Source organism: Homo sapiens, chromosome 15 (genome assembly GCF_000001405.40).
Source record: "Homo sapiens chromosome 15, GRCh38.p14 Primary Assembly".
NCBI lineage: Eukaryota > Metazoa > Chordata > Mammalia > Primates > Hominidae > Homo > Homo sapiens.
Genome location: NC_000015.10, coordinates 61,861,557 through 61,883,760, shown reverse-complemented (window position 1 = coordinate 61,883,760; position 22,204 = coordinate 61,861,557). Strand labels below are relative to the sequence as shown.

The 22,204-nt window shown below is 32.8% G+C and overlaps 1 protein-coding gene and 1 long non-coding RNA gene across 6 annotated transcripts in view; one reads left to right on the top strand and one right to left on the bottom strand.

The window, feature by feature from the left end:
- Positions 1 to 22,204, top strand: part of VPS13C (vacuolar protein sorting 13 homolog C) — a 208,059-nt gene that overhangs the window by 176,687 nt on the left and 9,168 nt on the right. For 2 of the 5 annotated variants that reach the window (NM_017684.5, NM_020821.3), the window contains 14 exons: positions 1,025 to 1,165; positions 1,933 to 2,014; positions 2,129 to 2,198; positions 2,807 to 2,918; positions 3,039 to 3,152; positions 5,015 to 5,154; positions 6,707 to 6,788; positions 7,916 to 8,029; positions 8,810 to 8,885; positions 10,352 to 10,515; positions 11,727 to 11,772; positions 14,138 to 14,261; positions 14,988 to 15,102; positions 20,233 to 20,321. In NM_017684.5, the coding sequence (NP_060154.3) occupies positions 1,025 to 1,165; positions 1,933 to 2,014; positions 2,129 to 2,198; positions 2,807 to 2,918; positions 3,039 to 3,152; positions 5,015 to 5,154; positions 6,707 to 6,788; positions 7,916 to 8,029; positions 8,810 to 8,885; positions 10,352 to 10,515; positions 11,727 to 11,772; positions 14,138 to 14,261; positions 14,988 to 15,102; positions 20,233 to 20,321 (1,469 nt within the window). Of the gene's footprint in view, positions 1 to 1,024; positions 1,166 to 1,932; positions 2,015 to 2,128; positions 2,199 to 2,806; positions 2,919 to 3,038; positions 3,153 to 5,014; positions 5,155 to 6,706; positions 6,789 to 7,915; positions 8,030 to 8,809; positions 8,886 to 10,351; positions 10,516 to 11,726; positions 11,773 to 14,137; positions 14,262 to 14,987; positions 15,103 to 15,813; positions 19,456 to 20,232; positions 20,322 to 22,204 lie in introns of those variants that run through there. The other 3 variants (NM_018080.4, NM_001018088.3, XR_007064464.1) reach the window with 2 other exon arrangements.
- Positions 4,268 to 22,204, bottom strand: part of LOC124903501 (uncharacterized) — a 44,799-nt gene continuing 26,862 nt past the window's right edge. Inside the window, exon 3 of the long non-coding RNA XR_007064668.1 lies at positions 4,268 to 4,411. This is a non-coding gene — a long non-coding RNA (uncharacterized LOC124903501). The remainder of the gene's footprint in view (positions 4,412 to 22,204) is intronic.

Here is a 22,204-nt window from a genome sequence, read left to right as displayed (position 1 = left end):
ACCAATATATATTGCTAAATAAAGACCGTGTAAAATTACATATTTCATTGAGGAAAAACCTACAAAAAGCTGCTCAAGTAAATTCATTAAATGTGAGTGATTGTTGGACCTGAGTAGGCATCCACAAATAAAGATGCACTCCACCTAGGCCCTTACACAGTTAAGACTAAAAGTCACCTGTGCTCCAGGAAGTCTACAGAAGCTTGACTGCAATTTCCAGCTTGCTCTAGTTTAATCATGCAGTTTAGTTACTCTTTGTCATTGTTGCCTGATGGTTTGGTTAGCACTGTCACCAGTTACATTCCCCAGCACCCCCACCAATTTTGGCCATACTTAAATGATAAAAAACTATATAATTCATGTCAGACGTGACTAAGCTCTCAATTATTGATTGCAAAACAGAGTTTGTTTAGAATTATCTTTGGGCCAGGTGCAGTGGCTCACACCTGTAATCCCAGTACTTTAGGAGGCTGAGGCAGGAGGATCACTTGAGGTCAGGAGTTTGAGACTTGCCTGGACAACATAGTGAGACCTTGTCTCTACAAAAAAAAAAAAAAGATAATAAAATTAAAATTAGCTGGGCATGGTGTCACATCTGTAGTCTCAGCTGCTTGGGAGGCTGAGGCAGGAGTATCACTTGAGGCCAGGAGGTTGAGGCTGCAGTGAGCTGTGATTTTGCCACTGCACTTGTGACAGCAAGATGCCGTTTCAAAAAAAAAAGAAAAGGAAAGAAAGAATTATCTGGAACTATTCGTTACTTGAGGAAGTTTTCTTTTACATAAAGCATGTTTTTAAAACTATAGTTTCTATACTTGAAAAGTTTCACGATCTTTTTTTTCTAATAACTGGTAGAAAAGTGGTGCTTTTGCTTCAGAGATCTCAACTGTAGATCACCTTAAGATAGATCTGTTGGTGAGACATAAAGATAAAGATTTTTTCAATTTGATCAATAAACAGATATTAAAAATGGAATAGCTACTGTGCTAATATCAGCTCATCACAAAAACATGTGCTTTTTTTCTAGGTCAATTTTGATAAAGATCCAATGGAAATGCGCCTCCCTATTCGTAGCCCTATTAAACGAGACTTTTTATCAGGAATTCAGATTGAATTTAAGCAGTCTTCTCACCAGAGAAGTTTAAGGGCCAGGTTGTACTGGCTTCAGGTAACATTGTCATTCTCAAATAAGTATTTATCATCACTTTGGGAATCTTGGGAATGAAATTTCTTTTTTACAACTATATAGTTTACATTGTAATTGGTATCTTTTCTTTGTTTGTATGTTTTTTCCCCTTTTTCCACATATCCTGTTTATTTAACATCTTACTTATAAACTTCGTGACTGTTAAGACTAATTTTGATCGATTAGCCTGCAAAAGGGTTTTCTTGCACTGAGATTGTTATTCTTAAATGTTCCTTTGAATTTGTCATGGGACCCCCAAATAAGATTTTCCTTTGTCGTCATTCAGGACAGAGAGCAGAGCTTTGCTGGAGGTTCCTTTTGGATGCTTGCTTGCTCTCTCCCAGCATCCCTCCCTTCCTTCCTTTTAGCTGTTAAGTACTGTTTAGGCTACTTTAATTCTTCTTCTTTTTCTCTTATCCCCTAATTTCATATTCAGTTTCAACTTTTATTTAAACCATAGAGAATTGAAATCTCACAGGATCCATAGATACAAGTATTTTCATTAATGATGTACATACTGCACACTGTTAATACAATTATGAGAGTATTTATATAGTCCTTTATTGAAAGCCTTGCCCTTGCTGAGGTATGTAACTTTTACAGATTTAAAATGAAACTTCTAATTACACCGCATATACACGCAGACACTTAATTATGATGAAAGTGGTGGCCTCTTCTATAACATTATCTTTGAAACTAAAAGTTTAAATTATTTGAAATCTTGATAAGTTCGTTTTCTTTTCTTTCAGGTTGATAATCAGTTACCAGGTGCAATGTTCCCTGTTGTATTTCATCCTGTTGCCCCTCCAAAATCTATTGCTTTAGATTCAGGTAAAATAAAATAAGTTGTGACATAGATATACCTTATTTATAAAAGTTAAATAGGCATTAGTTTAACCTAGTATAAAGCATTATTTTTTTTTATGTGTTACTTCTTCCTCTTAGAGCCCAAGCCTTTCATTGATGTGAGTGTCATCACAAGATTTAATGAGTACAGTAAAGTCTTACAGTTCAAGTAAGTGAAGATTCCTGCTGTTTCTCTAAAAGAATTTAAAATGAGAATCTACTTTGAAAATAAATCTTACTCTTTTTGAAAGTGACTTTCATGTAAAAAGTATTTTCCAGCTGAACCTATTAATTCACTTTTGGTCAAGTAATCTTTTATGCTTCAACTTATTTTAGTAGTAGTCTCTACATATTTTAAAGTGTAGAATTTCTTCAACCATCTTCTTCCCTTTATAACTTCAATTAGAATATAAAATAGTAAGTGAAATCTAAATGATATGTATTTGTGAGCTGTGTTCTTTAATGTAATTGCTGTGAACTTTAAAAATTGGATCATACATGCTACATGATCTGGTTGTATTTGTTTCATCTGTGACATGACGAATGTGGCATTTGGGACTGTAATTGCTAAGTGTTAATGCAGCAGTATTACCTTGAGTGAAGCTTTCACTCCAGTGAAAAAGTCTCAATCTAAGAAGACTTTGATCTTATTAACATAATTTTTAGGAGATGAAGGAACAAGATATAACTGTGGCTTTTCACTGAAATCAAAGTTTTAACATTGAAAATTAAAAGATTTGGTAGAAATCCTTTTCCATTTTAAATTTTTTTTCTTAGGTATTTTATGGTCCTCATTCAGGAAATGGCCTTAAAAATTGATCAAGGGTTTCTAGGAGCTATTATTGCACTGTTTACCCCAACAACAGACCCTGAAGCTGAAAGAAGACGGGTAAAAATTTTTATTTCTTGGGGAAAATATAAAATTAACAAAATTTAAATCAGCCTCTTTTGAACGAATTCTAATAGAGAAAAAAATTAAAATAGAAATTCTTGATTTTATTTTTTTCAGACAAAGTTAATCCAACAAGATATTGATGCTCTAAATGCAGAATTAATGGAGACTTCAATGACTGATATGTCAATTCTTAGTTTCTTTGAACATTTCCATATTTCTCCTGTGAAGGTTTGTTGTAATTATTATTTTGAAAATTTAGTGAAATTATTGTAGAACTTTTTAAAGGGTCTGTGGACCAAGGTAGGTTTTAATTTGTTGCATCATGTATTTGGTGGGAATTTTGTTTGATTAATCGAAATAATTAAGACAGTTCTCTGTAGCATATGTGCAGCCACAATTCCCACAGAGAAACCACCAGAGCATGTTCTCCAGTTTTGAATTAATAACCCCCTTATTCAAAGAAGAAGCTGACAAAAGCGTTTCTTAATTAAGCGTAGAAGTGCTTGCCAACGTTTAATGTTTTGGTTGCACTTTGTAACTACTATCACTGTCTAAACAGAGAGCTATAATGGGTGCTGTAACCAGAATGTGAAAACGCTGAAGTAGGTACTATACTGTTGATGTGGTGTTTTTCCCCCCTTCCAAAATTTGCTTGTAACTAAGGGAGTGGAAAATTGGATACCTTTCACTTGCCTGATGTTGTACTTTATGAACCCATTTCTTTTTTCCCTTTTGTTGTTCTTTTTAGCTTTTATAGGAGAAGGTGACTGCTTAGTAAATTCTTAAATTCACAAATGCTATCAACCATAATGCTCTAAACTTGTGTAATGGGCCAGATTTATAATTAAGTAACTCTTTAAAATATTGATGATCCTTTACATTCTCAAAAACTGTTTACAGCACATTACTTTCAATTGCATTTACCAGTCCTTCAGCTAAATGAATGGATTTCTAAAATGGAATTATTATTTTAAATTGATCTATTAGTTTGGTGATATCAGACATACTGATAGTGTCAGGTTTAAAATTGATATTGTTTTATGTGATAGGTAATATACCATTTCTTTTTCACTTTTAAGTGAAAATCAGTTATTTGTGGGATTGAACAATACCTTAAACAAGTATTTACTGAATGCTTATTATGAAAGTTGCTGTGGAGGTATAAAACAGCTTCATGGATATTATATTCTAGGGGGATATTAATGATTGATAATTTACCTATTCGTGTTCTTAGGCACAGTGGGAATTGTGCCATGAAGTCTAATGGCAAAGATTATGAACAACAATTATTTTCATAGCCCATAAGTAACATTGCCCTAGGGAAGGGCTGGATTAATGTTTACCTGTGGTTACCTTTCCTGGATCCCAGCACTCCCAGACTCGTCATTTGGGCAGAGGGTCACATGAAAGAAAAAACTAACCACAGGCTTTCCTGGCGTTGCCCCAAGTCCACTTTACTTGAACTCTATATTGGTTAGTTAATATGCCTAGGAAATGACAAAATGAGAAAGGAAATTCATCTACTTTATTTACACATATTGAATTACTTTTTGCCTATGTCTTCTTGCACTATTGCACTAATGATGGTTCAGTTCAAAGTAGCAGCTAAATGAGAATCTGAAATCTCATGTTTAAATACTAAGTTGGAGGATCTGTGGAAGCTGAAAGCCTTATTATACTTTTAAAAACTTGACAGCTTGCTAACTTACCTTAATTGTCATGTTATTGTTATTATCTGTATTTTGACTGGCAGATTACTTGTGTGCCAGTTTACATGTTTTTCTTCTTAAAATGATTACGCCATTTTTGTAAAGTGTGTCGGTTTCCCTCATATGAATGCAATGGCATTTATATACATTGCATAAAATTAGAACTCTGTTTTTGGATCAGACTAATTTGTATTCTATCAAAAAGCAAAGAGAATCAAATGTAAGTGGGTTGTTCTGCTATAATGTGTGGTATCAAATAATAGCTTTCACTAGGACTCTAATCGAAAGACTTTTTTTGGTTTGTTTCTGGACTACCTGGATCCTAAATATGTAAATTTTTCACTTTTAGCTTTCATTTATTGAACATTATTTTTCTTTTAGTTGCATTTGAGTTTGTCTTTGGGTTCCGGAGGTGAAGAATCAGACAAAGAAAAACAGGAAATGTTTGCAGTTCATTCTGTCAACTTGCTGTTGAAAAGCATAGGTGCTACTCTGACTGATGTGGATGACCTTATATTCAAGTAAGACTTCTGTTAGAGTACATTGAGAAGCAGGTGTACCAAGGTCATGTTTCTAGACATTAATTCTCTCCACTTGTGCAATGTTAGCTTAGGAAAAGGATAACTTTACTACTTATATTTGGAGAATTTGGTTCATTTGTGATTATACTCTTTAGGAATGCTTATTGTATTCATAATGATAAGGTGTAGAGTCTTGTTTTTTGTTTTTTTTGATTACTCATATCTAGATAATACATGGATGTAGAATAATAATTGAATTTTTTAGTCATATATTATAAATTAACCATATTTTAAAACATAATTATATTTAGAGATATGTAATGCTAGATACATATGCATTAAATAAATTGTTATTGAATTGAAATTCAACAATGGTATTGGAACAAGTAGTTATCTGGGTGAAAAAAAATTCCCTGTAGATCATTTTTACCTTACATGTACACTACTAAATTTCAGAGGAAACGAATGATAAAATATAAAACCTAAACTGAAAAGACAAAAAAAGTCCAATCTCTGAATAGAGGAGGTCTTTCTAAGTTTAAAAGCAGTGGAAAACATTTCAATGGAAAATAAAAGATACATTTAACCACATAAAAATCAAATACTTTACAACAAAATCAATGAAAATAATTAAAAAACAAAAGCCTGGGAAAATATAATGACAGAGAAAGGACTGTTATCTTAATATTAAACATTGAGAAGAAAAACCTAGATTCTAACGGTATAATGGCCAGAGAACAATAGGAGATAATTCGCAAAAGGGAAAACACAGTGATGGCGTTATTATTTATCAAAGAATACATGCAAATTAAAGCAAATTATCAAAGATTTTAAAATATGAGCGATTCTATTTTAAAATCCTATTTAATACTAGTCAGGGGTGGTTCTAAGAAATAGGTACTTTTTAAATACTGTTGGTATAAGTGGAAAACTGCATTTGTTAGGAGCCTTCAATGTTTTGTTGCTTTTCACTCAGTAGTTCTCTTTTTGGAAATTCTTTCCAAAAAGTAATCTAACCTTGAAGTTCAACCAAAGAGTTATATTCAACATACGCATGGCATCATTAATTATTTTAGCAAAAATTGGAAATGTCTGACAGTGGAAGAATTGTTTGTTACGACACTGCCACATGGTAGCATGCTATGCATCCGTTAAAAATGGTTATGTCAAGTTTTAAATAACATAGAGAAATACTTTTCCACAGTGTTGAGTGTAAACAGGGCATACAAAATGTTTTAAACATTTTATCATTGCATATAAAAGAAAGAATTCTAAGTGCGAAATACGAAAATAAACCTTTAAAATCCACTATGTGATGGGATGATGGTTGACTTTTAAAGAACTCTTTATGCATATATGAAAAACTTGTGCACTGTTTTTATAATAATTTAGTAACCATTATTAAGACAATCATAAATTGTATGTGGTAAATGTACGAAGTCAATTGTGAAAGAATTGGCTATGATTAGCATTAGCTGTCATTCAAATTTTAAGTCTCTTTTTTTATCATATAATATTAGTATCTTTGAATCTTTCCTTTTTCTCCTCCCAGACTTGCTTATTATGAAATTCGATATCAGTTCTACAAGAGAGATCAGCTTATATGGAGTGTTGTTAGGCATTACAGTGAACAGGTAATTTCCTATCATAGTATTTCATAAGGAATATACTTCATAAAATATCAAAACATTTGCATGTGACTGTATAGTGTGCAGTAATGTTTATCTAATTTATCTCACTTTGAAATCTCCGTATTTAGTGGCTTTCTTCAATGATTAATTTCTGTTTCTTTAGTTCAACCCCTCTTTATACACCTTTTGAAAATTTTCCTCCAGTTCCTTTTTTGACTTTGCAATTATACTTTTACCACTTTGGGAAAGAATAGTGACTTTATAGTCATTATACTTGATTTCTTCAGTGATTATAGTTTCTGAATATAATCTAGTGAACTGCAAGCAGAATTCTAAGCCGGTTTCCTCCCTGTGCCTCAGTTACTCTGTGGTTCAAGTATGTATGCATAGAAACAGTAGTTGTTGCAGGTCACTTTGGTACAATTGCTATACCATGGAACTGCATGGTGACATCTCCTTTCCTTCCACTGCTGGAATATTCTTTCTCCTATTACATATACAGACATTATGATTGTTACATGTTAAAATGAGGATATGTTTTCCCTTTTTTTTGTTTTGGTTATTATTTTCCATCTAATTTATTAATAATGATGGTAAAGTAATACTAAAAAAAACTAACAATTACTGAATTATGTATTCATTTAATATGCATACTCACCCATGCAAGGACAGTGTAACTTCCCTTTTTAAAAAATTTTGAGTTTTTATAGAGACGGAGTCTCACTATGTTGCCCAGACTGGTCATTAACTCCTGGCCTCAAGTGATCCTCTCATCTCAGTCTCCTAAACTGTTGGGATTACAGGCATGAGCCACCACACCCAGCCTGACCTTCCATTTTATAGATTAGAAGACAGGCTGTTAGATACTAAATGACTTGCACAGGGTCACATAACTGCTACGTGGCAGCCTGTGCGTCAAACCTAGTTCTGTCTAATTTAAAAGCTGTTTAAATTAGCATAGTGCCTGGCACACAGTAAAAGATCCATTAGTGGAGGTAGTGGTGATTATTCCATACAGCTTTCTTTTAACACAAACTTAATTTTATCAGTAAATCTCTTTTTTTCTATTTCATTATGATGTTTCTTACAATAGTTGTGAAGGACTTAATTTAATTTTTTTTCTTTTTTAGTTCTTGAAACAGATGTATGTCCTTGTATTGGGGTTAGATGTACTTGGAAACCCATTTGGATTAATTAGAGGTCTGTCTGAAGGAGTTGAAGCTTTATTCTATGAACCCTTCCAGGTATTGACCTCTTATTTGTTCTAAGGATAGGTACAGAAAAATGGATGGTCTATTTTTTAATAACAAATAGTAATTTGCATTGTAATTGTATCTTGGAATTGAATAATGTTCAAATCACAAAAGTATATCAATTTTATATTTTTATTTAAAGGTACATGAGATAACATTGGATGATTGTTTAGAATTTAATGAGCGCTGCCCACATTTGCCAGGATTTAATGTAGTTGTAAGAATATTTAGAGTGCTGGGTAGATTAAGACTTTCAAGACTGTTCCACCATTGTGGAAGGGACTAATAGGGCACTGAAAGCAAAGTTTGTTTCATATTCAAGCTGTCATCTAACCTATTCCCCTCCATTTAAAGGGTCTAGCAGCCAGCCCAGTGTATGAGGGTTTTCGGAGAATAAAGCAGAGAAAATAAATGAGAGAATAAGACAGTAAAAAAATCTGTGGGCTCTTACTCTTGTTATCACTGCATCTTGTTTTAGCAATTTGATGAAACTTAGTTCTGGGAGGCCAACTTCAAATTGTAATTGAAGCCAGTGATTTATACCTATCCAATTTTTGACTTAAAGAATTTGCTAAGATCATGTAGGTTGAAAGTGTCTTCAAACACAATAGATATTCTATCCATATTTGGGGTAGAAGTGAAAATTGATTCATCACAATGTTTATGGATTTTTACAGATTTGGATTCTTCTTGCAAACCCTGAACTATTAAAGTAAAAGTCTGAAACTTAAATTTTAAATAATAAGATTATTTTTTATTTTTTTTTGCCAGGGTGCTGTTCAAGGCCCTGAAGAATTTGCAGAGGGGTTAGTGATTGGAGTGAGAAGCCTCTTTGGACACACAGTAGGTATGTATCACATATTTGTGTATATGTGTATATTTTTTATTATATTGTTATGAAATACGTTGTTATGAAAAACAAATGCTTTTATTTAATAAAGGAGGGATCACTTTCTTAATAATCCCTTTTAAAAGACATGTTTCCCATGTTTTTAAATGAAAAATAACAGTAGACTGCTGGTTTTTTAATATGTCTTTGTAGTGTTGAATAAATGCAAATAATTTTACATTTAAATTAAATAATTTTATTCCTTTTCTTGTTAGATGGGAAAAGTTAATTTCTGCATTTTTTGTATGAGACAGAATTTTAAGCACCTATTAGTTTAAAGCAATTGCATGCTATATATTGTGATAATGCTGTTTATATAAACAATGTAACTTCTCTGAGCCTTAAAAAATTATTTTATTTTTAATTGACACATGATTGTATATATTTATGGGGTATAGAGTGATATTTTGATAAATGTATACAATATGTAGTGATCAAATCTGGTAATTAGCATATTTATCACCTCGAACATTTATCATTTCTTTGTGTTGGGAACATTCAAGACCCTCTCTTCTAGCTATTTGAAGACATACAATAAGTTGTTGTTAACTATAGTCACCCTACAGTGCTATAGCATGCTAGAACTTATTCTCCTATCTGGTTGTGATGTTGTATCCATTAACCAATCTCTCCCTATCCTCTCCTCCCCCTACCCATCTCAGCCTTTAATAACCACAGTTCTACTCTCTAATTCTATGAGTTCAACTTCTTTAGCTGTCAGATGTGAATGAGAACATGCAGTATTTGTTTTTCTGTGCCAGACTTATTTCACTTAACATAATGTCCTCCAGGCTCATCCAAGTTGCTGTGAATGACCGGTTTTCATTTTTTTTAATGCCTGAGTAGTATTCTGTTTGTGTGTGTGTGTGTGTGTATCACATTTTCTTTATCCATTCATCCGTTGATAGACACTTAGATTGATTGCATATGTTAGCTATTGTCACTAGTGCTGCAGTAAACATGGGAGTGCAGACATCTCTTGATATACTCATTTCTTTTCTTTTGGGTATATACCCAGTAGTTGGATTGCTGGATCATACGGTAGTTCTAGTTTCAGTTTTTTGAGGAGCCTCCATACTGTTTTCCATAATAGCTGTATTAAGTTATATTTCCACTCTCAGTGTGTAAGCATTCCCTTTTCTCCACTTCTTTGACAGCGTTTGTGATTTTTTTTGTCTTTTTTATAATAACTATTCTAACTGGGGTGAGATAATATCTCACTGTGGTTTTGATTTGCACTTTCCTGATGATTATTGATCTTGAACATTTTTTCATATACTTGTTGGCCATTTGTATGTCTCCTTTTCAGAAATATTTATTCAGATCGTTTGCCTATTTTAAAATCAGATTATTTGTTTTCTTGCTGTTGAGTTCCTTGTATAGTTCCTTGTATATTCTAGAAATTAATCCCTTGTCTTTGATAGGTGGTGCAGCAGGAGTTGTATCTCGAATCACCGGTTCTGTTGGGAAAGGTTTGGCAGCAATTACAATGGACAAGGAATATCAGCAAAAAAGAAGAGAAGAGTTGAGTCGACAGCCCAGAGATTTTGGAGACAGCCTGGCCAGAGGAGGAAAGGGCTTTCTGCGAGTAAGTTCTTTGCTGAATCTTTAAGAAATCTGCAACTTAAAAAAAAGTGTATTCTAGCTGGTTGTGTGAAACTTAGAATGCTGCTTATGAGTCTAGGCCTGTAGGAATAGAAAGAATGATAAATGATGGACTTCCCAGTTTCCTTTTTGCTCCCCTTCCCCATTGTCACCACCAGATCTATCCCCTGAATTGTCAGATTTCATAAAACTGTAATGATGACAGGGTAGTACTGGTGTAGAAGGCGAGGAAGTGAGAAGCAGAGATACATGGTACCTATGGAAACTAGAGGGAGAAGGAGCTCTGCAGGTCATCAGCAATTGACTGTTTCTGTGGAAGGGATGTGTGAAAATTAATTGTTGATAATCCAGGAACTGCCTTTCATTACTTTTTAATACTTTTAAAATTATATAGGTAATATATGAATACTGCTTAATTATATAGGTGATGTATGAATATTCTTATAATTATAAGAACTTAAAAGTTATTGTTAATAAGTAAATAAAACATTATAAGTAAGGCTAGAATACCCTAATCATCTCATCTGTTTCCAATTTAAGTGTGTATCCATCAGTTCTCTTTCTGTGTGTTCATAGAATATACAGGTATTTTACTACCATTACTTCATAATGATTAAAAATGTATTAGTATATTCATGTTTTAATTTTGGAAATAATTTCAGGAAACTGCTGTGTTTTTTGATAGTAATTTGTAATGTTGGGTGTTACAGTTACTAAGGCACTTTATTTGCCAGGTTATTACCTGTCCCTGGGAGGGCCCTTTATTTTCAGTTTTCTACACTTCCACTAAGTTACAATGTAATCCCCTTAAAATTTATAATTAGATAGTAAATATTATTTGGCTCAACTCACTCATTTTGCTGATGTGGAAACTGAGACTTAAAGAGATTTCAGCTACCCATGGTTACGTAGCTGATTGGTGTCATAGCCAGATTTAAAATCCTTTTACCTGCTTTACTCCTGTTTCTTTTATAAAATTTATAAAATGCTTTCATTTAAGATTTGCTGTGATATGATATTTGAAAAATCATAGTGCTAACTTATATGTGTATGTTGTTCACATTATCAAGTTAAGTCTTCAATTTTTGTTGTTGTTGTTGTTATTTCCAGTATGTCTGTAGAGACCTCTAGTGGTTGGTTTAAAATTAAACACCTTCCATTCAGTCTAAACTATATGATTGATTTCTCTTTCAGGGAGTTGTTGGTGGAGTGACTGGAATAATAACAAAACCTGTGGAAGGTATGTTGAAAATATTTCCTTCCTTTACAAAGTCTGAAGACTTGATGCTATTAGTAAACATAGTAGATGTTATTGCTGCTATATACTTGATTGAGAAAATTACTGACTGAATTTTATATTCGTAGCCTTAAGTTGCTCAATGAATGTATTTTCCTTAGAAAGCAGAGAGGTTAAGTAGTAGATCATGCTTCAGACTTTGAATGCTATTTTTAGCAGGGCCAGAGATAAACTAGATTTGTTTGGGTCCTCAGTAGCAATTTACTCAGTTTTGCTGTTGTTGTTTTTATCCCATTAAAAAAGCACATTGCTTATTCAGTGCAACCCTTATCAAAATCCCAGTTGGTTTCTTTGCAGAAATTGACAAGCCAAGTCCAAAATTTATATGGCCATTCCAGGGATCCCAGATAGCCAAAAAAAAAGTCTTGAAAAAGAACAAAGTTGGAGGACTTCTACTTCCCAAATTGAAAACTTACTGTAAAGCTACAGTAACTAAGACAGTGTAGTACTAACATAAGGATAGACATATAGAACAGTGGGATACTATTCAGAAATAGAGTTCAGAAGGAGTCAGAAATAGACTCTTACTTATGGTTAACTGATCTTCGACAAGGATGTCAAGATAATTCAATAGGAAAGAACCGTCCTCAAGAAATTTGCTGGGACAACTTCATATCTATGAGCAAAAGAACAAAATTGGACCCCTACCTGTACCATATATAAAAATGAGTTCACAATGGATTAAATACCTAAATGTAAGAGCAAAACCATTAAACTCAGAGGAAAATATAGGAGTCAATCTTCATGACTTTGGATTAGGCAAAACTTTGCTAGAAAAGATACATAAATTGGACTTCATCAAATACATAAATTGAACTTCATCAAAATTTAAAATTTTTGTGCTTCAAAGGACAACCATGAAGACAGGGAAAAGACAGCCCACAGAATGGAAGAAAATTTTTGCAAATCATATATGTGATAAAAGACATATCTAGAAAATATAGAGAACTATTAAAAATCAACAATAAAAAGACAACACAATTTTAAATGAGCAAAAGATATGAATAGACATTTCTCCAAAGAAGATATACATATGGCCAATAAACACATAAAAGGATGGTAAACATCATTAGTCGACAGGGAAATGCGAGTCAAAACTATGAGATACCGTTTCACACCTACTGGGATGGCTAGAATCAAGTGTTAAGAGGATGTGGAGAAATTGGAACCCTCATACACTACTAGTGGGACTGTAAAATAATGCAGTCATTTTGGAAGAAAATAGTCTGTCAGTGCTTCAAAAAGTTAAACACAGAGTCACCATGTGTCCCAGCAATTCTACTCCTAGGTTTATACCCAGAAGATTTGAAAACAGGTGTTCAAACAAAAACTGTGCACAAATGTTCATAGCACCATTATTCAAAATAACCAAAAGATGGAAACAACCCAAATGTCCATCACCTGATACATGAATAAACAAAAGGTGATATTTTCATACATTAGAGTAGTACTCAGTCATAAAAAGGAATCATGTACTGGTACTTGTTACAAAATGGATGAACCTTGAAAACATGATGCTAAGTAGAAAAAAAAGTCACAGTACACCACATATTACATAATTCCATTTGTCTGAAATGTCCAGAATAGGCAAATCCATAGGGATAGAAAGTATCTGTAGGTGGTTACCTAGTCTGGAGGTGGGGAGGGGCAGGGAGGAATGGAGGTACACTGAGTAAGATTTGGTGGGGAGAGGCTGGGGGAAATAGGGAATGATTGCTAATGGAAAGGGGGTTTCTTTTTAAAATGATAAACATTTTCTGAAATGGATTGTGGTGATAGTTGTAGAAGTCTGAACATACTAAAAGCTAATTTATCCTAAAATTTAATTTGTACATTTTAAATGGTAAATTTTATGGTATATGAATTGCATTTCAATAAAGTTGTTATATATTTTTTTAAAAGCACACTCCTTGAAAAATCTAACGGTCAGCATTAAAAAAGAGAATGTTTACTGGTCCCTTCTTACACCTGCAAGTTGCAGGTACTGATGAGACTCCTAGATCAGTAGTTCTCAAACTTGAGCATGTGTCAGGATCACCTGGAGTGCTTAGAAAAACATAAATGCTGGCCCCGCCCCCAGAGTTTCTGATTCAGTAGGTCTGGGGTGGGGCCCAGGAATGCGCATTTCTAACACACTTTGAGAAACCACTATTTTATCACATTAGGATTACATTTAACTTCTTTAGAAAGCCAAATTTTTGTAACTTCCTGGGTAAAACAGTTCAGTATCTGGCCCAGGTTTTGGTTGAGCTCAAACTTGCTCATTTAAAAATATCTTTATCCATTCATGGTCATTGGTTTTCTGAAGGTGCCAAAAAGGAAGGAGCTGCTGGATTCTTTAAAGGAATTGGAAAAGGGCTTGTGGGTGCTGTGGCCCGTCCAACTGGTGGAATCGTAGATATGGCCAGTAGTACCTTCCAAGGCATTCAGAGGTAATTGAGTACATACTATGTGCAAGGTATGTGTCTGTGTGCTAATTATTACAAGGAATACATAAATAGATTAGATTATTTGCCTGCTCCTAAGGATCTTAAAGTCTAATTGAAAGCTGTGGTAGCTTTAAAACATAGAGTGCCTCCAGAAAGGAATAAGAAAAGACATATTTTGCGAACATGGTGAAACCCCATCTCTACTAAAAATACAAAAATTAGTTGGGCGTGGTGGCGGGCACCTGTAATCCTAGCTACTCGGGAGGCTGAGGCATGAGAACCGCGTGAACCTAGGAGGCGGAGGTTGCAGTGAGCTGAGATCGTGCCACTGCACTCCAGCCTGGGCAACAGAGGGAGACTTTGTCTCAAAAAAAAAAAAAAAAAAAGAAAAAAGAAAAGAAAAGAGACATATTTTATGGCTAAATTTCTCTTTTATTCAACAAATGTTTATTACCTACCATGTGCCAAGCCCTGTGCTAGACACCAAGGATACAAAGAGTAGATGAGCTAGGCCCTGCTTTTATTATTTTGATATTTCTTTTTATTTTAGAAAAGGTTGGGGGATTTGGAGTCAGACAGACTTGGTTTTAATACTTTTGCATTATTTGGGGAAAGCTATTTAAAATTACTGATTGTTTTTTGTGAAATATTTATGTATTTAATCAACACACACATTATTTTGAAAGACTCTCACGTATTTTCTTACACTTACTCTGATGCCTTATTCAGGGCAGCAGAATCAACTGAGGAAGTATCTAGCCTCCGTCCCCCTCGCCTGATCCATGAAGATGGCATCATTCGTCCTTATGACAGACAGGAATCTGAGGGCTCTGACTTACTTGAGGTAAATTTTGTTCTTCATGGTCACGAGTGAAATGGAATTTTAATGATTTCTAGGCCCAGGATTTCCTAGGTGGTTCTTAAAGTTCCTGATTCTTGAACTGCTTTAAGTATTATACATAGTTTCTAGAGTAGAATTTGATTGTTTTTCATTTTAGCATGTGTTAAATGGAAATTACAGATGATTTTTTTTCTACATGGGAGCAAAGCTTTTTTTTGTGTGCAGAAAAGATAATGTTAAGTCATAGGCTATATCACTATTTCTGTGATAGCTCATTTAGTTAACATTGTTAATTTTGTTTTCCTGCTTTGTAGCTGATTATTGGAACTTCATTGCTTCCATTTCTCCCAACCAAATTAATTTATTTGCACTACTTTGTAAATCTAGATTTATTCCAGTAACTAGAACTAGATGAGAGAATAAAAGATTATGTATAATTATGATCTTGTTAAACCTTAAAAAAAATTTAAGAGCTTTTTGGCTTTTATTTTAGTTTTAACTTGATTATATTTTGATAATATATACATATATAAATTGCTATTCTCCCATGACAGGCTTTCCCCCAAAAGAAATGTATTAATATTTTTCTACCTTGACTTTAAAATAAAATGCCTCTTAATTGTTCTTCCTTTGGTTTTTATTGTATATGATTACGTTTTATCTATCTTTCTGCATGCTTCTAACTTTATTTTCTTTGTTTTTCTGCCTGCACAGCAAGAACTGGAAATACAGGAATAAATGTTTCCTAAACTACTACTTGATTTCATCCTTAAAAATCAAAACAAACTGTGGTGTTAATTGACTGTGTGTGAATTCCATTGTCAATTTTAATGAAATTTTCTTTAAAACTCTCACCTCCATCTGAACTTTTCATAGTAGTGGGATTGACTACAAATAAAAACTTGTGGTATTCCTGGTAATACTGTCCAGAAATAAGAGATTAGTATAAAATATTAAAGGATGCAGAGAATCAGCTCTCTTCTGCGTTTAATAGATGAAAGCCTTTATTGAGCTCAGAAGCAGATACTGTTACTATCATTTCGAAAATTTTATCTTATGGTGTTCATGTGCATTTCAGGTAAAATTGAAAAACAGGACAATTATTATGTCCAATTAATATGTTTATGTTTGTGAGTCTTGATGATGGAATTACATAGCTTTCTGTTTCACAAATGGCTCTAAATTTGCTTAAGTTACGGGACTATTACCTGGAGCATCTGCTTTAATAATTGAATTGTCAGTTGCTCTGAGCCTGCCCTTAGACCTCAAGTAATAAATAGTTGGCACATGAATTTTGAGGATATGTTTCCTCTTCCCTCTTTTTCCTATTTAACCCCTTGGTACTGTTGCTAAATAAATGATAGCCATTTTATAATTATGTTATATACATTTTCAGCCTTTAGCATTTCTGCTTTTCAAAAATTGAATCTCCTTGTTGGTTATGCTTATTTCATAATTATTAGTTTTAATTAATGTAGATAGAAGTTGAACATGTAATTAGGCAAATTGCTGTGTGGCACTTGAATACATAGATTTCTTTATTTTCAAAAACCAACCTTTTGCTTTTAAATCCTTAGAGAGGGTTTATTATCTTAGAGAAAAAATAATTATAATCATTATTTTTGAAATTAGTATCCTCTTAATTCTCAACATAAGTTATGTTTCAATTTCTTTTTTTTGTAATAAATGATGGAAATGTTTAACAATGTCTTATCTAGCAACTTTCATGCTTCTCCTCAGAAATGAAGCCAAAGTATAAACTTAGATTTAATGTGTTGTATATTTGAAGAGAATGAAACTATTAACATATAATTGTTCAGTTGGATTATGTATTTTAAGGATTGCAGTTATCAAAATAATAAATTGAATGTTTTATGTTTAACCACTTTAAAGAAGAAAGACTGACATCCAAAAACCAGCGTGTGCTAGATATACAAAGGAAATTACTTCTGTCCTTAAGGGACCAAGTATAACAAAACATGTAACTGTTAAAAGTAGCTGACAAACCTTTCTTGTGCCTAGATAATTTAGCATTGGCAAAAATGTCACCACATGCAGTTTTCTAGGAGAGTCAAGCACAAATAACTAATTCAAGATGCTGACTTAAATCATCTCCAATAGTTACCCTTCCTGAGATTCTAAAGTAACAATTTTTAATTTTACTGGTTATATTGCTGTTTTACTGAGACTTACTTTTAAGAACCCCTGTAACTTAAGATTTTTTCTTAATTGTTTTGTTTAGCTCTGTTATTAATTTTTTCCTTGTGATATCTTTTTATAACTCTCTGTCAAAAAGCACAAAACTTCAAGAAACTTTTAATTATTTTGTCTGAACATATAATCTTGTCTGATTTCTTAGTTTTTATTAAGATATCAGACAACTTTTAAAACTTTAGTGCATTATTATAATTACTGGAAGAAAAAGAATGATTATACACTAATGAGAGGACTTGGTAGTTTTTGTCGTGGATGTCAAGTGTGGGCATGGATAATTGAAATATTTAGGCTATTTCATTCTTTGCCCATCTTGCTGTGATCAGTTAGTTGGGTAAAAATATTTATTGATTATTTAGACTGTACTGGATATACAAAAGAAGCCTTCTGTCCTTAAGGGACCGAGTAAAACAAAACATGGAAATATTAAAGAGTATTAGAGTATAAAAGTATATCTTTTTAGCCCTTTGTAATATGGCCAAATTCTAAATAATTTATTTGGGGATCTTTTGATCCTCATGTTCCTTTTTCTCCTAAGTACTACTTTGTATTCTTTAATATGCAGCTTTGAGAGTTACTGAATCATATATTATATTTCCATGAGATGTACTATTCTACTTATCCTCTAATCTTCATATATATATACACACACACATATATATACACATACATATATACACACGTACATATATGTACACATACAGATATACATACACACAAACACATATATACACACATACATATACACACATATATATACACATACAAATATACACATATATACACATACATATATATACACACATACAAATATACCCATATGTACACATACATATATACACATACATATATACACACACATATACACACATATATACGCAAACATACACATATTTACACATACATATATACATACATTATATGTATGTATATATAGTCATTTAATACTCATTTTGGTTCACATACTTATGATCATGCAACGTTTAAAACAGCATTTCTTGCTTTTTAGTTTTAGTTATATTTTTCCATGTTCTTAGAAATGCCTCATTAACATTTTTAATTCTTGTATTGCCATCTATTGAGGTGACATTACATTGTGTTTTTATCTCGTCTTAATTCATGACATTAAATTATTCTACTAACAGTAATAATGCTGTAATAAACATCATTATAGATTTTGCTTTTTTATATCTTGTTTGCTTTTTCATATTTCCTTAGAATTTACTTGAAAAAATTGAATTACTGGGTAAAGGGCTTTTGCAAAGTATTGTTAAATTCCTCGAGTTGCATTTTTGGAAAGGGGACGTGAATATTTTATCAACTAATTTGGTCTCCCTGCTGCCATTAGTGACTGAATATCTTAATCTGAATCTCAGAGTGTAGTGGGTTTTTAGTAGTGCTGAAGACAAGTTTTCTAAAGTGTATTATGGTGATAAATTATATTTTAAAAACTGTCAATGGCTTGAAGCACAATAGCCTAATAACTAACGAAAATACATACAAGATAGAAAGTGGGTAGTATTTCTTGTACTTGCATTTCAGATCTAAATATTTTAACATATTTAAATTTCAAGCTGCAGATAAATGCATTACATTATTAAATTCATTTCCCATTTTCTCTTTGAAGAAATTAAGGCAAAAGTGTTAAAAGATTTTAACTAATTCGCACAAGTGAATTGTGAAACAAGTAGCTATTGCTGTGAAATCTGCACTCCTCTCTGAGACTCATTCTGAAGATGAGATCCCAGTTCTTTGTGGATTCCTCTTCCTTATTCATGGCTTTTTGCAATTGTCAAGGAATGACTAGGTACCAAGCAACTTTAAAAAATGTATATTTAAGCATTGAAATAATATCAAATGTGATTTCTCTGCTTGTGGTTATATTGATTATATTATCCTTTTAATAATATTGGCATTATATTCTTGGTCGTAAAATGTCAAGGTCTTATTTATTCAGTATATTTATGTTCTGTATTTTCATATATATTATCTATTTTCAGCCATGCATTATATATAATGTCAGTAATAGTATTTCATTAGCATTCATTATAAAAAAACTCGTTTTTAATATTTGACTAATTCAAGTCACAGTACTTTTGAGATAGCTGAAAAGGAAAATAAATGTGTTTTAATGTGCTACTACTTATACTTGAATTATTTTATGCTCATATTTGTTTTTAGAAATAAATTGTGCCAGCTATTTTGAAATCTTAGAAATTGTTCATATTAATATTGTCATATTTTCTTTTCTATAAGAAATATAATTTGATATATAAATATACTTCCCCACGCATGTTTAACGTATAAGATCAAATGTTCAAAGCATTAAACATTAATTATCTTGGAATTTTATTATGTGTATAATATCTACTAATACCTCTATGTAAACCAGTGGTTCTTAATCTTTGAGATCACAGACCCCCCTCTGTGATTAAAAAAAAACTGACAAAAAATATTAACTGCCCTGAAAAAAGTTTTAGAACTACGTTTTCAAAATTTTCTATTTTATGTTAGGTGGTTCAGAGACCCACCGCAAAGTGCTACCAGTGACCCCTATTTCAAATCCCCTGTAATGTTAATGTAGTTATTTTATATTAGCATATGTTTCTTAATTAAAGTGTGTGATAATTGCTGGTAGATATTTTAATATTTCTAAGTTACTACAGAACAAAATGTATTTTACCAGAAGACCACTTGGTAAGCATTTATTACATGTTTTTCTTTTAAGGCAACAGTGGAAGTTAACTTACAAACATGCTGTGAATATTTTTCTAGCTTCATGTACCAATATGTAGAATTGTGCTTTTATTTCTAATTAATTTTTTCCTAACACTATTATTATAATTAGCTAATATGCAGTATTGTAAATACTACTTAAATGCATAACTTCCCAAATCTAGAGCCTGGTTTCCTTTTCAGAATCATATCAAAAAGTTGGAAGGAGAGACTTACCGATACCACTGTGCTATTCCTGGAAGCAAGAAGACAATCCTTATGGTTACAAATAGGTACTGACTTGAAGTGACATTTTTCCAAATAGTACTTAGTTGCATAGGTCACAAGAATTTTGAAGGCTAAAATGGCAGAAGAGTTGGAAAATTGTACTTAAAATTCTCCAAAGTGAATGGCAAAATGTTCATTTTCATAGAATCACAATACAGATCTAAATAGGTCCTTTGAGATTTTCTTTTCCGACCTCCTCATCTGAAAGATGCTGAAACTGAGACTCAGTGTGGCTTAGGGACTTATCCAAGTTACACAACCACTGAGAGAATGTAGACTAGGCTTTATACCTGTAATAGTGATACCCTTTTTCATGAATTACAAGTCCAGTTATGGAGGATTAATTCATGAATCACTTTTGTTACTAAGTTTTATTTTGAGTGATTAGCATACCCCTTTTAAAGGGTGGCATTACTTCTATATGTTTATCTCAGCTTTTCCTAAGCATTTGGTTGTGGTAGATTTTTCCAAATAGAAGAACTTATAGTAAACTACCAAGCTTATTTTCCTGGGATCTATCCTAGATAATAAAATTATCCCAAAATGACAATTATATATTAATAATTTTCAGAACTTTCTTAGTGTTGAGCTTTATAAGAGTAAGGCAAAGTTCTTACAGTGGCAAAATCTGCATTAGATTCCTCATGACTGCATTTAAATTTGTTTGAATGGGAATAAAGAAAAGCTGAATGACAGGATAAGAGAGGTTAACCAGTCATGTCAGAATCCTCATGTAAGAGAGGATTCTCCAGTCATGTGATTTGCTCATTAGTTAAGAGTTAAAAATATTCACAAAACAATCTAAAAAGCAGATTTTATGACTTTGACAAGTAATCACTTATTTTTTATGTCCATAATTTTATATTGTCTTCAATAGATTAAGCCAAAAACAATGTTTTTTTGTCTTAGATATTGTACTTAGCTGTTGCAATGTGTTAATTCATTTTAAAATTGTATCACTTTTATATAATTCAGTACTGGGCAATGAGAATCAATTTGGGGTTTTTTTGGTAATACTTATTGGTAATACTTAGTACCTATTTGATTTAAGCCATTCTGTGGGAGTATTACTGTATACATTATATATCTGGTTTTTCTTCAAGTACATTGAAAAATCATCATCATTTGAAATCTAGTCACTGATGGAGTTGTTTAGGAGGTAATTAGTAAAATATACCTGACCAGTAAATACTATGACTTAGTTTCCTTGCTAACCTTACTTAGTAGACTCCTTTTCTTTTCTCCTTTCCTTTCCTTTTCCCTTTCCTTTCCTTTTCCTTTTCCTTTACTTTTTCTCTTCTCTTCTCACTCTTTTCTTTTCTTTTTCCTTTTCTTTCTTTTTTTTGAGACAGGGTCTCACTCCGTCACCCAGGCTGGAGTCCAGTGATGCGATCTCAGCTCACTGCAACCTCTGCCTCCTGGGTTCAAGTGATTCTCGTGCCTCAGCCTCCCCAGTAGCTGGGATTGCAGGCATGCACCACTATGCCCAGCTAATTTTTGTATTTTTATTAGAGACGGGGTTTTGTTATGTTGTCCAGGCTAGTCTTGAACTCCTGGCCTCAAGTGATCCGTCCACCTTGGCCTCCCAAAGTGCCAGGATTACAGGCATGAGTCACAGCACCTGGCCTTAGTAGACTCTTTCTAACAAGAATGTATTTGATTGAGGTAGTTATCATTATGGTAATCATTTAGACCTTTAATGATTACATTAAAATAGTAGCATTTCTTCCAAATTCAGTATTCTTAAAAATAACATTTTCTTTTTTAAAGAAATGGGGTCTCTCACTGTGTTGGCCAGGCTGGACTCAAACTCCTGGACTCAAGTGATCCTCCAGCCTCAGCCTGTTAAGTAGCCTGGACTATAGGCATACATGCACCACCACATCCA